At 38.7% G+C, this 22544-nt stretch overlaps 1 long non-coding RNA gene across 2 annotated transcripts in view; it reads left to right on the forward strand.

The window, feature by feature from the left end:
- The first annotated feature begins 285 nt into the window (after window positions 1–285).
- Window positions 286–22544, forward strand: part of LOC105378849 (uncharacterized) — a 65806-nt gene continuing 43547 nt past the window's right edge. The window contains exon 1 of one of the 2 annotated variants that reach the window (XR_007066216.1): window positions 286–719. This is a non-coding gene — a long non-coding RNA (uncharacterized LOC105378849). The remainder of the gene's footprint in view (window positions 720–22544) is intronic. The other variant, XR_947588.4, reaches the window with a different exon arrangement.

The raw sequence follows: 22544 nt of genomic DNA on the forward strand, positions 1-22544 counted from the left end.
GTCAGGGGTCAGGCACCCACTTGAGGAGGCAGTCTGCCCCTTCTCAGATCTCCAGCTGCATACTGGGAGAACCACTGCTCTCTTCAAAGCTGTCAGACAGGGACATTTAAGTCTGCAGAGGTTACTGCTGTCTTTTTGTTTGTACCCTGACCCCAGAGGTGGAGCCTACAGAGGCAGGCAGGCCTCCTTGAGCTGTGGTGGGCTCCACCCAGTTCGAGCTTCCAGGCTGCTTTGTTTACCTAAGCAAGCCTGGGCAATAGTGGGCGCCCCTCCCCCAGCCTCGCTGCCGCCTTGCAGTTTGATCTCAGACTGCTGTGCTAGCAATCAGCGAGACTCCGTGGGGTAGGACCCTCTGAGCCAGGTGTGGGATATAATCTCGTGGTGCGCCGTTTTTTAAGCCCGTCAGAAAAGCGCAGTATTCGGGTGGGAGTGACCCGAGTTTCCAGGTGCTGTCCATCACCCCTTTCTTTGATTAAGAAAGGGAACTCCCTGACCCCTTGCGCTTCCCGAGTGAGGCAATGCCTCGCCCTGCTTCGGCTCGCACACGGTGCGCGCACCCACTGACCTGCGCTCACTGACTGGCACTCCCTAGTGAGATGAACCCGGTACCTCAGATGGAAATGCAGAAATCACCCGTCTTCTGCGTCCTTCAGGCTGGGAGCTGTAGACCTGAGCCGTTCCTATTCGGCCATCTTGGCTCCTCAAATCTATATTCAAAAGTAAGCTATTCTTAATTTTCTTTGTAGAACTAGGAGCAAAGATGGAAGTGGTTGTTAGAAAAATCTTTCTACCATGCCTTTTCAGCAATGAAAATAGGCAGGAAATAGTAAGCTTTTGTTTTGAATCACAGAAAATATTTACATAGGCTGGAGAAGAGAGGCTTTCTTCTGAAAAAACCCTCCTCATTTCTCAGTGACCTCTGTATTTCTCCCCAAATTTCAGATTCCATAATACTTTTGATAATGTCTCAGCAAAATAGTGCTAGGGAGAGCTGATGTAGAGATCAGTTCTTCTGAATCCTAGGTTAGTGATATGTCTATGACTAATCTTTAGAATTGCCTCTTCAATTTTAACTAAACTATCCATGAAAATGGCCATGAAAGAGAAACAAACTTTAAAATTGAGTGTGAGAATGTTTTCTAAGTGTAGAGTTTATAACAATTTTGTTTTAAGTGTCTACTTACACAGTTTTTGTCTCTTTGAATGTGTCAATATCCTAGCCATGATAAGATCAGTGATTTTACTCAAAGGGTAGAAAAAGACTAAATAGCCTAAAGATTTCCCCAAGAAGTGCTTTTATAATACCCCAATGAATTACCAAGGGATAAAGTGAATTCCTGGAAAACAAACCAGACCCTAAGGTGAATTTTCTTCTAAAAATTATATGGAGTTAAAAGGAAAAGGTAAAAATAAAAGTATAGGGGTGGAATGTGTTTCAAAATATTGGCTGGGTTTATTGCATCTCCAGATTGCTTTAGCTACTTGAGAAAACCCCCGAGGGCCCCATGACTGGTCTCCAAAGTTGTCCACTTAAGGAAGAGTGTCTCAAAGGAAACTCCCAAAGGCCATTTGAGTTCCAGGAGCTTGTTTTTCAGCCTCTTTTTAAAATTTGCCTGAAAAACCCTTTGGAGAACTGTGATAGGAGAGATGGGAATTTGACAAGCCTCTATTCTGGATCGCAGAATCCGCCTTTCCAGCCTCTGGACATTACAAATGAGGAGAGTGAAGCCCTGTGAGATGGCATGACCTAACTCAAATCACAAGCTGGTTCCTGGGACAGCTAGGGCTATTCTCTCATTTAACAAATATTCACTAAATACATAGTGTGTGAATTGCATCTAGTCCAGGACTCTTTATACCACATCACAAGCCTCCCTTCATGAATTATAATAATGTGAAAAGAGCTTATCAGAATCTTTTAAAAACTAGCCTCTCTGAATGTATCATTGAGATATGTCTGGGGAAATTCAGCACCTGTGGTGACAGGAAAGAGGCTCAATCAGAATAGGAAGTGAGTGGCTGTGTGCCAGAGCATGATGTGTTTCTGCTGAGAGGGAGATTTCCATGCAAAAGTGGGACCAGAGGTCAGAGACCAAACACAATGGTCAAATGTGAATTAAGCACAATTAATGAGTCTGGACTCAAATTAATTGAGTTCTTACCCGATAAACAGTCAGGTCATACTAGCACTTGAATTCAATGTTGCAACAGCAAGAAAATAGAGGATGTTGAATTGGTTATATTATTATTCAGAAGAGAAGGGATGCTGGTGTTGTCAAGTACAAACTCTTGTCAGATGCCTTTATCTGCTCAGATCTCCAGTTACTGTTCAAAGTTCAAGTTTCACTAGCTATGAATTGCACAATTATGTCAGCTTCTCAGGTTCAATCGAGACAACATCAGAGAAAAAGGAACCATGTTCAGTAGAAATAAGCAAAAGCTGTTTGCATTTCTGGAGTGGAGGAGAAACAGTAACGTGCGGATGTGGGACAAGACAAGGGATGCTACCAGAAAAATTGCCTTCTGATATTCCGATATCAATGAAGTTTGGTCTCTTCTTTCACTTAAATTTTACAAAAGTTCTAAGCAAGAGAGACAGCAGTTTAGCAGGCTCTGTTAATGTTCTCACTGTAGTGAAAAAAAGCCCAACCATTGTGAATCTGAATCATGCTTGGCTGATTTTGAAATAGGGACTTCTTTTGTATAGATGATACCTTTGGGCAAATTAGGAAAAGGTGACATAAAAGACATTTTTGAGTGGACCAATTGGGAAATAATAGTACTTCTAGGATGCAGTCTAGCACTGAGGCTCAGATCTTGGAGACAAGAGCATGAATTGGATTTCAAACCCAGCTTGACCCTTTGGCTGGGCACCTTGTGTGGGGTGTGGTTTTGCCTAATTGTCTGCTTTGAAAACTTAAATGATTTCTGAACTTCTCTCTTGGTCGATATAAGCTGTCATAGGTCTCTTGTTAGGCCTGGGGTTTGTTGCAAAGGTGTAAGTCAGCAGTAACCTAAGACTTTAGGCATGGAGCAAGGGAACTTAAAAAGGCAATGTCTACTGGCAAAGGTGGGGCCGAGGACCAGACAGTCCAAATGATTGCCACATCCAAAGGGAATGGGCAGAAAAGCAGAAACTGGATTTAACCAGACAGTAAGGTGGCAAAAGCAGTCTCAGGAGGGAAGATGGCAGGGGCCTGGGTGATTCCCAAAGGTGCAGGTCCTGCTGGCATGCTGAGCTGGATTGGACAGGGGTCAGCAGTGGCTGTGGGTGAGGCTCTGAGGGAGGAAGGCAGTAATTGTAGTGGTTGAGTCCTTGCTAGCTCTGGAGCTGCACTGCTGGGATTCAAATTCTAACAGTGCTCAGCCTAAAAACTCAGAATCATCCCTGACTCCTTTTATTTCATCATACCCCATATCCAGTCCACCAGCAAATCCCGTTGGCCCTACTTTCAAAATATATTCAGATGATAACCACTTTTCACCATTGCCGCTACTCCTGTTTGAAGCCATTGAAGTAGCCGCCCAACTAATATCTCTGCTTTTGCCCTTGTTTCAACCCCTTGCCTCCACCTGAGTTTATTCTCATCACAGCAGCCAGAGTGAATCTCTGTGAAGGGTCCTGCCGCTCCTCTGCTCAACTTTTCCTGTGACTTCCCATCTCAGACTGAAACTGGGAGTCTTCACAATGACTTTCAAGACCTGTGTGATCTGAATTCCCATCCTCTTGGCCCTCATCTCCTAACACTACCTGAAGGGAAAACTAACAAACAAATAGTTTTTTTCCTTCCCCTCTCGCGCTCTCAACACAGAACACCTCACTTTGGTAAGCAAAATGTGTGTGGGGACTTCTCCCTACCAACAACTAATCAATTCTCCATTGGACACCAACTGTGAATAATTTACCTCAATTCTGACAGTACCTGGAGATCGCTTCAGATCCCACAGGTTGAGGGCTCAGTCCCACAGGGCTGCCCTCCCCCCACTTCAGATGCTAATTGCAAGCACAAATTGTGACCTGTATTTCTGACCAATCAGATATGAATCAGAGTTCCCACAACCCCTTCCCCGGGTTCAATTAATTTGCTAGAGCAGCTCACAGAACTCAGGGAAACACTTTATTTACATTGACCCATTTATTATAAAGCATATTACAAAGGATACAAACAAGCAGTCAGATGAAAAAATGCATAGGGCAAGGAACAGGGAAGGGGCCCAGAGCTTTCATGTCCTCTCTGGGCACCTCATCCTGCAGGAATCTTCACCTGTTCAGCTGTTTGGAAAAATTCTCTGAACTCTGTCCTTTTGGGGTTTCATGGAGGCTTTATTACACAGGCATGATTGATTACATCATTGGCCATTGGTAATAACTCAACCTTCACTCTCTCTCCCCTCCCTGGAAGTTGGGTGGTGGGACTGAAAGCTTCAACCCTCTCATCACATGATTGGTTCCCCTGGCAACCAGCCTCCCTCTTGAAGCTGTCTAGGATTCCCCATTCACCAGTCATCTCATGATCATACAAAAAGGCATTTATCACTGAAGAGATGCCAAAGTCTTTAGGAAGTGTGTGCCAGGAAACTAGAGGAAGAATATATATATATATATATACACATACACACATACATATACATTTCACAACATTACAGTCCCCCTTGAATATGTCACTTAAACCATGTTGACCTCCTTGCTGTTCCTTGAGCAAGCCAAGGGTGCTCTTGCCTTGAGGCACTTGTTCTTTCTGATTTCTACCTTGAGCACTCTCCTCCCAATTAGTCGCTTCCTTCAGGTTTTTTCTTCAAATGCCACCCAGCAGAGGACTTCCCAAATTACCCTATCTAAAATAGCAACTGACTGTATATTGCACACTGCATTGCCTCTCTTTTCTTTACTTTTCTTCTTAGTAAGCCTCAACTTCTGATATAATATCTATTTTAATATTATTGAGGTACAGTGTATACATAGTTAGGTACATGATTTTTCTTTTTTCTTTTTTTTTGTAGAGACAAAGTCTCGCACTGTCACCCAGGCTGGAGTGCAATGGTGTGATCTTGGCTCACTGCAACCTCTGCCTCCTGGGTTCAAACAATTCTCCTGCCTCAGCCTCCTGAGTAGCTGGGACTACAGGTGCACACCATACGCCTGGCTAATTTTGTTTCTATTTTAGTAGAGACGGGGTTTCACCACGTTGCCCAGGCTGGTTTTGAACTCCTTAGCTCAGGCAATCCGCCCTCCTCAACCCCCAAAGTGCTAGGATTTAAGTGCACCAGTTGTTTGTTTTTATTGCAGAGTAGCTCCCTTATATGGTTTGGCTGTGTGCCCACCCAAATCTTGAATTGTAGCTCCCATAATTCCCACGTGTCCTGGGAGGGACGCTATGGGAAGTAATTGAATCATGAGGCTGGGTCTTTCCCATGCTCTTCTTGTGACAGTGAATAAGTCTCATAAGATGTGATAGTTTTATAGATAGTTTTATAAAAGGTTTCCCCTTTTTCTTGGCTCTCATTCTCTCTTGCCTGCCGCGATGTAAGATGTGCCTTTTGCCTTCCACCATGATTGTGAGGCCTCTCCAGCCATGTGGAACTGTGAATCCATTAAACCTCTTTTTCTTTATAAAATACCCAGTCTGGGATATGTCTTTATTAGCAGCATGAAAATGAACTAATACAGTAAACTGGTACTGGGAGTGAGGCGCTACTGTAAAGATATCCGAAAAAGTGAAAGCAACTTTAGAACTGGGTAACAGGCAGAGGTTGGAACAGTTTGGAGGGCCCAGAAGAAGACAGGAAAATGTGGGAAAGTTTAGAACTTCCTAGAGACTTGTTGAATGGCTTTGACCAAAATGCTGATAGTGATATGAACAATAAGGTCCAGGCTGAGGTGGTCTCAGATGGAGATGAGGAACTTTTTGGGAACTGGAGTAAAGGTCACTCTGGCTGTACAAATAGACTGGTGGCATTTTGCCCCTGTCCTAGAGGTCTGTGGAACTTTGAACTTGAGAGAGATGATTTGGGGTATCTGGTGGAAGAAACTTCCAAGTGGAAAAGCATTCAAGAGGTGACAGAGCATAAAAGTTTGGAAAATTTGCAGCCTCACAATGTAGTAGAAAAGAAAAAAACATTTTCTGGGGAGAAATTTAAGCTGGCTGTAGAAATTTGCGTAAGTAATGAGGAACCAAATGCTAATCACCAAGACAATGGAGAAAATGTCTCTAGGCCATGTCAGAGATCTTCAGGGCAGCCCCTCCCTTTATAGGCCCAGAGGCCTAAGAGGAAAAAATGGTTTCTTGGGCCAGGCCCAGGCTCCCCACTGCTGTGTGCAGCTTAGGGACTTGGTGCCCTGTGTTCTGGCTGCTCTAGCCATGGCTAAAAGGGGCCAAGGTACAGCTCAGGCCATGGCTTCAGAGTGTGCAAACCCTAAGCCTTGGCAGCTTCCATGTGGTGTTGAGCCTGCAGGTGAACAGAAGTCAAGAATTGAGGTTTGGGAACCTCTGCCTAGATTTCAGAGGATGTATGGAAATGCCTGGATGTCCAGGCAGAAGTTTGCTGCAGGAGCAGAGCCCTCATGGAGAACCCGTGCTAGGGCAATGCGAAAGGGAAATATGGGGTTGGAGCCCTGACACAGAGTCCCCACTGGAGCACTGTCTAGTGGAGCTGTGAGAAGAGGGCCAGTGTCCTCCAGGTCCCAGAATGGTAGATCCACCTACAGCTTGCACCATGCACCTGGAAAAGCCACAGACACTCAAAGCCAGCCTGTGAAAGCAGCTGGGAGAGACTGTACCCTGCAAAGCCACAGGGGTGGAGTTGCCCAAGACCATGGGAACCCACCTCTTGCATTAGTGACCTGGATGTGAGGCATAGAGTCCAAGGAGATCATCTTGGACATTTAAGAGTTAATTACTGCTCTATTACATTTTGGACTTCCTTGGGGCCTGGAGCCCTTTTGTTTTGGACAATTTATTTCATTTGGAATGGGTGTCTTTATCCAATGCCTGTACCCCCATTGTATCTAGGAAGTAACCAACTTGCTTTTGACTTTACAGGCTCATAGGTGAAAGGGATTTACCTTGTCTCAGCTGAGACTTTAGACTGTGGACTTTTGAGTTAATGCTGAAATGAGTTAAGACTTTGTGGGACTGACAAAAAGTTAGCTGGGTGTGGTGGCAGATGCCTGTAGTCCCAGCTACTCAGGAGACTGAGGCAGGAGAATGGTGTGACCCTGGGAGGCAGAGCTTGCAGTGAGCTGAGATCACGCCACTGCACTCCAGCCTGGTCGACAGAACAAGACTCCGTCTCAAAAAAAAGACTTTATGGGACTGTTGGGAAGGCATGATTAGTTTTGAAATGTGAAGACATGAGATTTGGGAGGTGCCAGGGGTGGAATTATATGGTTTGGCTGTGTCCCCACCCAAATCTCTAATGTGGTTCTCATAATTCCCATGCATCATGTGAGAGACCCAGTGAGAGGTAATTGAATCATGAGGGTGAGTCTTTCCTGTGTTGTTCTTGTGATAGTGAATAAATCTCATGAGATCTGATGGTTTTATAAAGGGGAGTTCCCCTGCACATGCTCTCATTCTCTCTTGCCTGCTACCATGTAAGTTGTGACTTTTGCCTTCTGCCATGATTGTTAGGCCTCTCCAGCCATGTGGAACTGTGAGTCCATTCAACCTCTTTTTCTTTATAAATTTCCCAGTCTTGTGTATGTCTTTATCAGCAGTGTGAAAATGGACTAATGCACACCCAATTGGATAAATGTGCCATGATGTATTTGCCTAGTCATTTTTTGATAGACAATTTGGTTGTTTCCAGTTGAGGACTATATTAAGAATAAAGGTATTATGATCCTTCTTCTACAAGTTTGTGTAGACACGTACTTTAATTTCTCTTGGATAAATACCTAAAAGTGGGAGTAATGGGCCATATGGTAAATATGTATGTAACTTTATAAAAAATTGACAAAAGGTTTTTTGAAACAGTTGTTCAACTTTACACTCTCACCAGCAATGTATGACAGTTCCAGTTGCTCTACACTCTCTCCAGCATTTAGTTTTATCTGTCTTTCTAATTTTTGCCATTTACTGAATACATAGAGATATCGTTGTTGTTTAATTTGCTTTTCCCTGGCAACTAATGATGTTGAATACCTTTTCATTGGGTTCTGGCCATATATATTCATATATCTTGTTTTATGAGAGGCTGTTCAAATCTGTTGCTGATATTATCAATGCACTGTCTTTTTGCTATTAGTCGGAGCTCTTTATACATTCTGATCATAAGTTCTTTGCTGGAGGGATGTGTTATGAATATTTTTTCTCACTTTTTTTGCCTATTCATTTTCTTTTTTTGTTTTGACAAGCAGAAGCTTTACATTTTGTCCACCAGTCATTTTCAAAATTTTCTTTTTAATGCTCTTTAAGACTTGCCTAAGAAAATTTTTCTTATTCAAGTTCATGAAAATATTCTCTTATGTTTTCTTCTAGAAGCTTTGTAGTTTCAACTTTTGTAATTGGATCTATGAGCCATCCAAAATTAATTTTTGTTCATGGTGTGAGGTAGGAGTTGAAATTATTTTTTTGTCATATAGTTATCCAGTTCTTCTAGAATTATTTGTTAGAAAGTTTCCTTTCCCCTCTGAATTCCTTATTGCCTCTGTAAACAATTGATGATATATATGTGGGTCTATTTATGTATTCTTTATTCTGTTCATTTGATCTGTTTGCTTCTCCTATTCCTTACTGCCTAGATTACAGTAGTTTTATTATGTCTTTAAATCAGGTAGTATAAATCTTCCGTATTATCTTTCAAGATTATTTTGTTTTTTACATAACTTACTTGTTTCCTTTATTTCATATACATTTTAGGATCCATTTATCAATTTTTACAAAAATGCCTGTTTGGACTTTGATTACAATAGCATAGCATCTATTGATCAACTTGGGGAGATTAAAATCTGTATTATTTTGGTAGTACTACCATGACAAAATACCACTGATGTGGTGGCTTAAATGACAGAACTTTATTGTCTCACAGTTCTGGAGGCTAGAAGTCCAAGATAAAGGTGTCAGCAGGTTTGGTTTCTTCTGAGGCCTCTTTACTTGGCTTGCAGATGGCTGCCTTCTTGATGTGTCCTCACAAGGTTGCCCCTGAATCTGTGTGTTGCCTGTGTACTAATTTCCTCTCCTTATAAGGACACTAGTCCTATCAGACTATGGCCTGCCTATATGACCTCATTTTATCTTATTTACCTCTTTAAAGGTGTTATTTTCCAATACAGTCACATTCTCAAATAATGGGAATTAGGAGCTTAACATGAATCTTAGAGGACACAATTCAGCCCATAACAACATCTCAACAATATTAAATCTTTTCATCTTTGAATATGGTGTATCTTTCTATGTATTTAATATTTGAATATGATATATCTTTCTATTTATTTAAGTTATCTTTAACTTCTCTTAATTCTTTGTAGTTTTCAGTGTGCAGGTCTTGCACCTTAATAATTTATATGTAAGTATTTGTGTTTAATGTTTTGGGTGCTACTATTGATAGTATTTTTTTCAAATTCAATTCTTAGTTACTAGTATACAGAAATTCAATAAATTTTTGACTGTTGATGATGTAAATTGATACTTGCTAAATTCACTTATTCTCATAGTGTATTTTTGGTGTGTGCCTTCTTTTGGATTTTTTACATACATAATCATATTGTCTTTGAATAAACATTGTCGGATGTTGTTTACAATCTGTTATTTTGCTTTTTTTCCTCTTGCCTTTCTGCACTTGTTAGGACTTCCAGTACAATGTGGAATAGTTTTGATGATTCTTGCCTTTCTGCTGATCTTAGGGGAAATGTATTCAATTTTTTACCACTAAATAGCTGCATGTTTTTCATAGATGCCCTTTATTAGATTGAGGAATCTCCTTTCTATTAGTACTTTGCAGAGGTTTTTATTATAAACGATGTTGAATTACGTCAAATTATTTTTAAAAAATCTATTGATACAATTATTTGTTTTCTTTCTCTTAATTTTCTTAATGTAATGAATTGATTGGTTAAATATTTTATTAATTTTAATTTTTGTGGGTATGTAGTAGGTGTATATATTTATGGAGTACCTGAGTTATTTTGGTACAGGCTTGCCATGCATATAATCAGACCATGGAAAATTGGATATTTGTTTCCTTGAGCATTTATCTTTTTGTTACAAAGAGTCCAACTGTTATACTTTAAGTTATTTTAAAATATACTATTATTATTGACTATACTCACCCTGTTGTGCAATATATTAGGTCTTATTTATTATTCCTATTTTATTTTTTGTACTCATCAACTATCCCCACCTCACCCCTCTCCTCACTACCCTTCCCAGCCTCTGATAACCATCCTTGTATTCTCTATCTCCAGGAATTCAATTGTTTTGATTTTTAGATTCCACAATAAAAGTAAGAACATGTGACGTTTGTCTTTATGTGCCTGGCTTATCTCACTTAACATAATGACCTCCAGTTCCATCCATTTTGTTGCAAATCACAGAATATTCTTTTCTGTGGCTGAATAGTACTCTATTGTGTGTAAGTATCACATTTTCTTTATCCATTCTTCTGTTGAGGGACATTTAGGTTGCTTCCAATCTTGGCTATTGTGAACAGTGCTGCAACAAACATGGGGGTGCCAGATATCTGTTTGATATACCAATTTCCTTTCTTTAGAGCTATACCTAGTAGTGGGATTGCTGGGTCATATGGTAGCTCTATTTTTAGTTTTTTGAGTAACCTCTGAACTGTTCTCCATAGTGGTTGTACTAATTTATATTCCCACCAACAGCCAATGAGACTTTCCTTTACTCGACATCCTTGCTAGCATTTGCTTTTGCCTGACTTTTGGATAAAAGCCATTTTAACTGGGGTGAAATGATATCTCATTGTAGTTTTGATTTGCATTTTTCTGATGATCAGTGATGCTGAGCACCTTTTTGTATGCCTGTTTGCCATTTGTATATCTTCTTTTGAGAAATGTCTATTCATATGTTTTGCCCATTTTAAAATTGGATTGTTAGAGATTTTCGTATAGAGTTGTTTGAGCTCCTTATACATTCTGGTTATTAATCCCTTGTCAGATGGGTAGTTTGCAAATATTTTCTCCCTTTCTGTGGGTTGTCTCTCCACTTTGTTGATTGTTTCATTTGCTGTTCAGAAGCTTTTTAAGTTGATGTGATCCCATTTTTCCATTTTTGCTTTGGTTGCCTGTGCTTGTGAGGTATTACCCAAAAAAATTTTGCCCAGGCCAATGTCCTGGGGAGTTTCCCCAATGCCTTCCTTTAGTAGTTTCATAGTTTGAGGTCTTACATTTAAGTCTTTAATCCGTTTTTTTTTTTTTTTTTTTTTGTATATAGTGAGAGATAGGGTCTAATTCCATGCTTCTGCATATGGATATCTAGTTTTCCCAGCACCATTTATTGAAAGACTGTCTTTTCCCCAATGTATATTCTTGGCACCTTTGTAAAAAATAAGTTCACTGTAGATGTGTGGATTTGTTTCTGGGATCTCTACTCTGTTCCATTGGTCTATGTGTCTGTTTTTATGCCAGTACTGCATGCAGTTTTACTATAGAGCTACAGAGCTTTCTATAGCTTGGTAGTATAATGTGAAGTCAGGAAATGTGATTCCTGCAGTTGTTCTTTTTGCTCAGGATAGCTTTGGCTATTCTGAGTCTTTTGTGATTCCATATACATTTTAGAATTGGTTTTTCTATTTCTGTGAAGAATATCATTGGTATTTTGATAGAGATTGCACTGAATATGTACATTGCTTTGGGTAGCATGGAATTTTAACAATATTGATGCTTATAATCCATGAACATATTTTTCCTTTTTTGTGTGCCCTCTTCAGTTTCTTTAATCATGATTTATAGTTTTCATAGCAGAGATCTTTTACTTCTTTGGTTGAATTAATCCCTCACCTTTAATTTTGTTTGTGGTTATTATAAATGAGATTACTCTTGATTTCTTTTTCAGATTGTTCACTGTTGGCTTATAGAAATGATGCTGACTTTTGTATGTGGACTTTGTATCCTACAACTTTACTGCACTTATCAGTTTTAATAGTTTTTTTGGTAGAGCCTTAGGGTTTTTCCAAATATAAGATCATATCATCTGCAAACAAGGACAGTTTGACTTCTTTCTTTCTAATTTGGATGCCCTTTATTTCTTTCTCTTGTATGATTGCTCTAGATAGGACTTCAAATACTATGTTGAATAACAGTGGTACAAATGGACATTCTTGTCATATTCATATTCTAGATTTTGGAGAAAAGGCTTTTAGTTTTTCCCTATTCAATATACTAGCTGTGGGTCTGTCATATATAGCTTTTATTATGTTTAGGTATGTTCCTTCCATACCCAGTTTTTACAGGGTTTTTATCATGAAGTGATGTTAAACTTTATCAAATGCCTTTTCAGCATCAATTGAAGTGATATATGATCTTTGTCATTCATTCTGTTGATGTAATGTATCACCTTGATTAATTTGCATATGTTGAATCATCCTCACATTCCTAGGATAAATGCCACTTGCTCATGATGACTGATCTTTTTAAGGTGTTGTTGAATTTGGTTTGCTAATATTTGTTGAAGATTTTTACATTAATATTCACCAGAGACATGGGCCTGTAGTTTTTTCTTTGGTGTGTGTTTATCTGATTTTGGTATCAGGGCAATACTGGCCTCATAGAATGAGTTTGGAAGGATACTCTTCTCTATTTTTTGAAACAATTTAAGTAAGATTGTTGTTAGTTCTTCTTTAAATGTTTGTTAGAATTCAGCAGTGAAGCCATTGGGTCCTGGGTTTTTCTTTACTGGGAGATTTTTGTTCAGGCTTCGATCTCATTATTTGTTATTGGTCTATACAGGTTTTGGATTTCTTCATGGTTTAATCTTGGTAGGTTGTGTATGTCTAGGAATTTGTTCATTTCTTCTAGATTTTCCAATTTATTGGCATATAGTTGCTCATAGTAGCCACTAGTGATCCTTTGAGTTTCTGCAGTATCAGCTGTAGTGTCTCTTTTTTCATCCCTGATTTTATTTATTTGGGTCTTTCTTCTTTTCTTAGTTAGTTTGGCTACAAGTTTATCAGTTTTGTTATCTTCTCAAAAAAAAAAAAACAACTTTTTTTTTTTTTTTTTTTTTGTTTTGAGACGGAGTCTCGCTCTGTCGCCCAGGCCGGACTGCGGACTGCAGTGGCGCAATCTCGGCTCACTGCAAGCTCCGCTTCCGGGGTTCATGCCATTCTCCTGCCTCAGCCTCCCGAGTAGCTGGGACTACAGGCACCCGCCACTGCGCCCGGCTAATTTTTTGTATTTTTAGTAGAGACGGGGTTTCACCTTGTTAGCCAGGATGGTCTCGATCTCCTGACCTCATGATCCACCCGCCTCGGCCTCCCAAAGTGCTGGGATTACAGGCGTGAGCCACCGCGCCCGGCCAACTTTTTGTTTTTGTTTCATTGATTTTTGTATTGTTTCTTCATTTCAAATTCATTTATTTCTGCTCTCATCCTTATTATTTCTTTTCTTCTCCTAATTTTGGGTTTGGCTTGTTCTTGCTTTTCTCATTCTTTAAGATGCATCATTAGGTTATTTATTGGATGTTTTTCTTCTTTTCTGATATAGGTACTTATAGCTAGAAATATTTCCCTCTTAGCACTGCTTTTGCTGTATGCCATGGGTTTTGGTATATTGTGCTTCCTTTCTCATTTGTTTCCAGAAAATTTTCAATTTCTTTCTTAATTTCTTCATTGTCCTACTGGTCATTCAAGAGCATATTGTTTAATTTCTATGTGTTTCTATAGTTTCCAAAATTCCTCTTGTTATTGATTTCTAGTTTTAGTCCATTGTGGTCAGAGAAGATGCTTGATATTATTTCAATTTTTTGAATGTTTTGAGACTTATTTTGTGACCTAACATGTGATTTATCTTTGAGAATGATCCATGTGCTGAAGAGAAGAATGTGTATTCTTCAGTCGTTGGATGAAATGTTCTGTAAATATCTATTAGATCCGTTTGTTCTATAGCGCAGATTAAGTCCTGTATTTCTTTGTTGATTATCTGTCTGGGAGATCTGTCCAATGCTGAAAGTGGCGTACTGAAGTCTACAGATATTATTGTATCGGGGTCTATCTCCCTCTTTATCGCAAATAATATTTGCTTTATATATTTGGGTGTTCCAGTGTTGGATGCATATGTACTTACAGTTGTTATATCTTCTTGCTGAAGTAACCCCTTTATCATTATATAACGAACTTTATTTTGGTCTTTTCTTACAGTTTTTGTCTTGAAATCTATTTTGTCTGATATAAGTATAGCTGCTATTGCTCTTTTTTTTGGTTTACATTGGCATGGAATATCTTTTTGTATTCCTTTATTTTCAGTCTTCATGTATCTTTATAGGTGAAGTGTGTTTCTTATAAGTAATAGATCATTGGGTTTTGTTTTTTCTTCAATTCAGCCACTTTACATCTTTTGATTGGAGAGTTTAGTCCATTTACAGTTAGTGTTTTTATTGATAAGTAGGGACTTAACTCTGCCACTTTTTGTTTGATTTCTGGTTGTTTTGCAGTCCTCTCTTCCTTCTTTCTTTCCTTCCTGTCTTCCTTTTAGTGGAAGTGATTTTCTTTGGTGGTATGCTTTAACTTCTTTCCTTCAATTTTTTGTGTATTTATTGTCTGTTTTTTCAATTTGAGGTTACCATGAGGCTTTCAAATACTGTCCTATAACCCGTTATTTTAAACTGATGACAACTTAACTCTGATTACATATACAAACAAAGAAACAAAAAGAAAACTAGTAAAATTTCTACACTTTAACTTCGTCTCACCACTTTAAACTTTTTGTTTTTTTTATGTATTATTGTAGAGTCTATGTCTTAAAAAGCCGTTGTAGTTATTATTTTTTATTGGCTCATCATGTAGTCTTTCTACTTAAGAGCAGTTTGTACACCACCATTACAGTGTTATACTAGTCAATGTTTTTCTGTGTGTTTACTATTACCAGTGAGTTTTGTACCTTCACACTCTCTCTTCTTGCTCATTAAGGTCCTTTTCTTTCAGATTGAATAACTCCCTTTAGTATTTCTTGTAGGAAAGATCTGAAGTTGATGAAACCCCTTAGCTTTTGTTTGTCCAGGAAGGCCTTTATTTCTTCTTCATGCTTGAAATATATTTTCTCTGGATATACTATTCTAGGGTAAAACTTTTTTTCTTCAGCATTTTAAATATATCATGCCTCTCTTTTGGGCTGTAAGGTTCCCACTGAAAAGTCTTCTGCCAGGCATATTGGAGTTCCATTGTATGCTATTTTGTTCTTTTCTCTTGCTGCTTTTAGAATTCTTTCTTTATTCTTGACTTTTGGGAGTTTGATTATTAAATGTCTTGAGGTAATCTTCTTTGAGTTAGATCTGTTTGGTGTTCTATAACCTTCTTGCATTTAAATGTTGATATCTTTCTATAGGCTTTGGAAGTTCTCTGATATTCTTTTGGATAAACTTTCTGCCCCTATCTCTTTCTCTACCTCCTCTTTAAGGCCAATAACTCTTAGATTTGCTTTTTTGAGGCCATTTTCTAGATCTTGTAGCATACTTTATTGTTTTTTCTTCATTTTTTGGTCTCCTCTGACTGTGTAATTTCAAATGGCCTGTCTTGAAGTTCACTAATTCTTCTGCTTGATCAGTTCTGCTGTTAAGAGACTCTGACGCATTCTTCAATATGTCAATTGCGTTTTTCACTCTAGAATTTCTGCTTGATTTTTTTAACCATTTCAATATGTTTGTTAAATTTATCTGATAAAATTCTGAATTCCTTCTCTCCATTATCGTGAATTTTTTTGAGTTTCCTTAAAACAGCTATTTTGAATTCTATTTCTGAGTGGTGATATATCTCTGTCTCTCCAGGATTGGTCCCTAGTGTCTTATTTGGTTCATTTGATGAGGTCATGTTTTCCTGGATGGAGTTGATGCTTACAAAGCAACATTTGTCAATGTCTGGGCATGGAAGAGTTAGATATTTACTGTAGTCTTCATTGGCTGGGTTTATTTGTGCCTGTCCTTGGTAGGAAGGCTTTCCAGGTGTTTGAAGAACTCGGGCCCCAGCCCAACAGCACTATGGTTTTTGCAGATTTGTAAAACCACCCTTGTGGTCTTGAATAAGATCCAGAAGAATCCTCTGGATTACCAGGCAAAGACTCTTGTTCGTTTTCCTTACTTTCTCCCAAATGAATAGAATCACTCTAAGGTGCTAAGCCACCTGAAGTTGACGCTGTGGTGATGCAAGCACCACTGTGGCCCCACCACTGGGACTGTGCTAGGTTAGTCCTGAAAACAGTGCATCACTGGGTCTTTTACAAGGCCCTTCCCTTAAGGATGGTGAATTCTCCCAGGCCCCATTCATGTCCAGAGATGCTGTCTGGGAGCCAGGGATCAAAGTCAAATACCTTAGCAGTTTACCTGATGTTCTATTCTACTGTGGCTAAGCTGGCACTCATACCAAAATACAAAATCCTTCCTATTCTTCCCTCCACTTTCCACAGACATAGGAGCCTCTCCCTGTGGCCACCACCACCACTGGTCCACGAGGGATGTGCCAGGCCACCTCTGATTTCACTTAAAGCCCAAGGGCTCTTCCATTAGCTTGAAATGAATGCTGCCAGCCCTGGAACTCACCCTTGAGGGCAGTAAGCTCTCTTCTGGCCCAGGTCAGGTCCAGAAATTCTATCCAAGAGCCTAGGCCTGGACACAGAGACCCTGAGGTTACCCTTTTGTGGCCATGCTGGCATCTAAGGTGCAAGACAAAGTACCCTTTACTTTTCCCTCTGCTTTTCTCAAACAGAAGGAGTCTTTCACCATAGCCAGCACAGCTGGGAATGCACTGGCTTTCCCCTGAAGCCAGTAAGTCTTAGAGCCCAAGGCCCATGGTGTACTCCCCTTGGTATCACTACTGGTTATTCAGGGCTCTAGGGCACTTTAATCAGCAGGTGATGAATCCTGCCAGGACTGGGTCCTTCCCATTTAGGAAGCAATTCCCTTTGGGCCCAGGGCGTGTCTAGAAATGTTGTCCAGGAGCTAGGACCTGAAATGGGCACCTCACAATTCTTCTTGGTGCCCTATCCTATTGTAGCTGAGCAGTATCCAAGATGCATGAATAAATCTTTTTTACCCTTCACTTTCCTCTCCTTAAGCAGAAAGAAGGAGTCACTTTTCTTTGCTGTGAGCTGCACTGCCTGGGGTTGGAGGAGGGATGGTGCAAGCACTCCCTTAGTTGCCCCAGCTGGTGTGTCCCTTGGTTATGTGCCACCCTAGTCTACGGGCTTTAAGTCCAGCCTCGCACTAGGACTTACCTAGGAACTGCAGTCCTCATGCTCTAGATTGCCTTTCAAGTTTACTTAGGATCCCAGAGTACTTCAGTCTATGGTGGTGAGGTTTTCTGAGAAGCTCAAGTTCTGACCACTGGGATGGATAATTCCCCTCTGGCTAGGACTAGTCCAAATGCTCCCTCTGTGCATGCGCACTGGCTTAGCCCAGCACAGCTTTATTCTCTGCTGTGACAGGGCAGCATCGAGTTCAATGTAAATTTCCCCAGCCACTGCACTCTCTCTCCCAAAAGTGCACAGATTCTCTCTCCACCTCGCCTCTGCCGGGGGATGGCAGGAGTGGCATCCATGATTCAAGACTGTCTTTGCCGCCTTCATACATGCCTTTTTCAGTGAACCTGAAGTTAAAACCAGTTACTGTGATTGCTCATTTGCTTTTTGGTTCTTGTGACAGTGGTTTTCTGTGTGCAGATAGTTCTTAAAAATTGGTAGTCCAGGAAGGGGTGGCAATGAATGGTGTAGGCCTCTATCTGCCATCTTGCTCTGCACCCCTTAATTGGTTTTTTGTTTTGTTTTGTTTTTTGAGACTGAGCCTTGCTGTGTCTCCCAGGCTGGAGTGCTGTGGTGTGATCTCAGCTCACTGCAGCCTCTGCCTCCTGAGTTTAAGCAGTTCTCGTGCCTCAGCCTCCCAAGTAGCTGGGATTACAGGTGCCCACCACTATGCCCAGCTAATTTTTGTATTTTTAGTAGAGACGGGGTTTCACCATGTTGGCCAGGCTGCTGTCAAACTCCTGTCCTCAAGTGATCTGCCCACTTCTGCTTCCCAAAGTGCTGGGATTACAGGCGTGAGCCACCACGCCTGGCCTTTAATTGGTTTTTGAAAGTTAAACCAACTTTACATTCCTGGGACAAAACCCAATTGATCATGTGGTATCATTCTTTTCAAATATTATTGGATTTCATTTACTAATATTTCATTTTTCTTTCCTTTTAATGTCTTTGTCAGCTTATAAGGTCAGGGTTATACTGAACTTACAAACAAGTTAAGAAATATTTCTTCATTCTCTATTTTCTTAATGATTTTGTATAAAATTGGCTATCTTTATATTTTAAAAATATTTGATTAAATATGCAAATAAAGCCACCGGGAAATGTTTTGAATTATGGCTCTAAGCTCTTTAACAGGTATAAGGCTATTGATTTGTATTTGTATTTAATTTTTATGTATTTTCAATTTTTTTCTTGTTTCTTGTTTTTTTGTTTCTTGTTCAGTAAGTTGTATCTTTCAAAGAATTTGTCCATTTTATGTATGCCAACACATTTAGTGGCATACCTTTTCATAAGATTCCCTTATTATCTTTTAAGTATCTGAAAGACCTATAATAACATCTCTTCTTTTTTCCCCTGTTATTGGTTGTGTGTGTGGTTTTTTTATAATGGACTTTTTTGAGGAGCAGTTTTAAACGTTTACAAAAAAATTGAGCCGAAAACATAGAGTTCCCATATGCCCCCTTATTGCTTCACATCAGTTTCCCCTATTACTAATACCTTGCATTAATGTCATTCATTTGTTACAGCAATGAGCCAATATTGATACATTCTTATTGACTAAAGTTCATAGTTTACATTAGAGTTCACTCTGTATTGTACATTTTATGGGTTTTGACAAATATATAATGATATGTATCCACCATTACCGTGTCATACTGAACAATTTCACTCTCCTAAAAATTCCCTGCACTCTACCTACTTATGCCTACTTTTCTCCTCCCAGGCTCTTGGTAACCACAGGCCTTTCTACTGTCTTTATAGCTTTATCTTTTCCTGGATGTCATATAATAGGAAGCACACAATATGTAGCCTTTTTCAGATTGGCTTCTTTCACTTAGCAATATGCATTTAAAGGTTTCTTTATGTCTTTTTGTAGCTTGATAGCTCATTTCCTTTTTTTAATTTTTTTCTCTTGTGAGGGCCTTATCAATTTTATTAATCATTTCAAAGAAAAAACTTTTGCTCTTCTTTCTCTACTTTGTATTTCACTGTGATCAAAGAGTATGCTACATATAATTTTCTTTCTTTGACGCTTACAGAGATTTGACTTTATGGCCCAGAATATGGTTTCTTTCGGTGGATGTTTTTCATGTACTCAAGAAGAATGTTTATTCGGTTCTGGTTGTGTGACATAGTCTGTTAATGTCATATAGGGTAAGTTTGATAGAGTTGTTTGAGATTTCCATATATTTGCCTTTTCTTTTCTATTTGTTCTATCAGTTACTGAGAAAGAATTATTAGAGTCTCCAACTGTAATTGTGTGTTTATTGGTTTCTTCTTTTAGTTCAGCCAGGTTTTGCTCTATTATGAAGCTCTGTTGTTAGATACATATACATTGAATATTGTTATGTCTATTAATGAGCTGACCCATTTATCACTATCAAATATCCTTCTTTATTTCTAATAAAGTAATATCTGTTGTTTTGAATTCCATTTTATCTGATACTAATATAGCCATATCAGCTTTTGCCTTTTTACATTTGCATGGTATATCTGGTTCTATCCTTTTGCCTTCAACTATCTGTGTCTTTATACTTCAACTGTGTCTTTTACAGTTGTATCTTTTTCCCTCTATTATCTAGTTTGACATTCTGTCACTTTCAATTGTTTTATGTACCAATATACATTTAATATAATTATTCTTATTCCTGGGTTCAAGTCTAGCATTTTGCTCTTTCTTTTCTACTTGTTCCCTCTGTTCTTTGTTCCTCCTTTTCTAGCTTCTTTTGGACCACTCAGGTATTTTTATTATTTCATTTTGTCTTTTCTATCAACTTTTAGATGCACTACTTTGTTTTATTTATTTTTAGTGATTACCTTAGGTATTACAATGTATCCTTAATTCATTGTAATCTGTCTTAAATTAATATTATACCATTTCATGTTTAAGAAACTTACAACAGTATATGTTCATTTATTGCCCTCCTTTCCTTTCTGCAACTGTTATATATATGAGGTGTATTAACATTTATTAACACGTTATTAACCCTATAATACCTTGTTATTATTTTTGTTATTTAAAGAAATTGAAGAAAGTAGATCATTCATTATATTTTCCCACAATTTAAGCATTTTTTATGTTTTTCATTTCCTCCTGTGTATTTGTTCTTCCATCTGGTATTATTTCTCTTCAGCTTCATGAACTTTTTTTACATTTCTTGTAGTACAGATCTGCTGACTATGAGTTCCCTCCACTTTTGTTTCTCTGAAATATCTTTATTTCATCATTACTTTTGATATACATATTTCCACTGGATATAGAATTCTAAGCTGACAGTATTTTATTTTCTCTCAGCAATTTAGTGATGTTATTCACTATCTTCTGACTTGGATTATTTCTAGTCAGAAGTCAGCAATTATTCTTATTGCTGTTCTCCTGTAATGTGGTTTTTTTCCAGATGATTTTAAGATTTTCATTTTACCAGTTTTTTTCTGCAATTTGACTATAATGTATACTGGCATAGTTTTCTTTGTATTTCCCTGCTTAAGGTTGGTTGAGGTTCTACTTGCTTTAGTGAGTTTATGATTTTCATCAAATTTTTGAAAAAATTTGGTCATTTTTTTTCAAATAGTTTTTTGTCCCTTCTCTCACCCCTCTTATTTTCAAACTCTAATTACACATATGCCTTTTTTGACACATTTAATTATGTTTTGTGGGGAATAATTACTTATCTATATATCTGTTTCTTCAGCTAGGATAGAGCTTTTGAGAAATCAGGGGCTTGTATTATTTTTCTATATCCTCATAACTTCACATAACATATGCATGGGGAAAGCTCAAAATATCTTTGTAGAATTAATGAGAAAATGAATGACAGTAATGACCATTTATTGATGGCTTACCATGTGCTACATACTATTTTAGCTACTTTCATGTGAATTAGTAATCTCTAGCTCACAACAGTCTTGAAAATAAATAATGTATACTTTAATTTTATAGAGGAGCAACCTAAGGCTCAGAGCTCACCAAACTTGCTCAGGTTTACATAGTTCACAAGTGAGGAGCTGGAATTGAAACTGGCATATCTCTGTATGATAAAGGGGAAAGGAGAAAGTGCACAGCATTGTCTTACATTGGTGGGCTTGATTCTTCCTCTCATCCTGTATCATCATTCATTAATGAGAGTAAAATAAACTGTGGGCAATACCAGGAATTGAAGAAGCAGATGGCAAGATGGCCTTGAGCTGAATGGGATGGGGCATGCCCAGCAGGGGAGTACTCCAACTGAGATGGGAAGAGAGAGGGCAAGGCTGGGGCAGGTGCCCCATTTTCACCTACTCATACAGTTTAAGAAGATGGCAACAAACAGCCTTCCTAGTGACACCAGGAAGCTTGTTAGCTGCTGTTTCTTACCTATTTTGGTCTCTGCAAAATTGATCAATTTTGGTCTCCACTGGGAGCAACTTGCAAGGGCTTAGAAGGAAAGAATATTGCATATGAATTCTCAGAGAAAACACTTCCAGGCACACCATCAAGGTAAACATAGGAGCAGCATTCTGAGTTTATTTTCTGTTCTGTGCTTCTTGTGATCCTGGTAATTTCTGTTGAGGAAAGGGGTTATCTCTTCCCTTAAGTAGAAAATGAGGATTAGCTAATTATTTTATTATTTTGCTTATTTTATGTTTATTTCATGCTTTTGTTGATCTGTATAAAGTCTATATTTATCTCTCCATATCTTCTATTTATTCATTGATCTTGTTATCTAGCTAGCATCTGCCTCTCTGTGCAGCTTTTAAAATTTATTCTACTTTTTGGAAATCTTCAGTATCCCTATTCCAATTTATGGCATTTTTAATGTAGCTTGTTAGTGTACATTTTGGACAATGTTAACATAATTTCAGGTATTGGGGACAAGTGAGGAATCTGCTTAAGTCCTTAGGAGAAGCTAAAAAGACTATTAACAACCCAAGTCCATAAAAAACATCTGTTCCAGTCACGCTGGTGATTTTTTATTAGTCCTTCAAATCCACAACAAAGATCTCTAGAGCAAGACAAATGTTCTAGTGGAGTGCAATTTCCAATTTCTTAGCTAACCTGATTTTGTTGATTCATACATATGCACGATTCAGTGCAGTTCCTGAATACAGACACACACACACACACACACACACACACACACACACAAAAAAAAAAAAAAAA

The sequence above is a fragment of the Homo sapiens genome, chromosome 1 (genome assembly GCF_000001405.40).
Source record: "Homo sapiens chromosome 1, GRCh38.p14 Primary Assembly".
In the NCBI taxonomy this organism is placed as follows: Eukaryota; Metazoa; Chordata; class Mammalia; order Primates; family Hominidae; genus Homo; species Homo sapiens.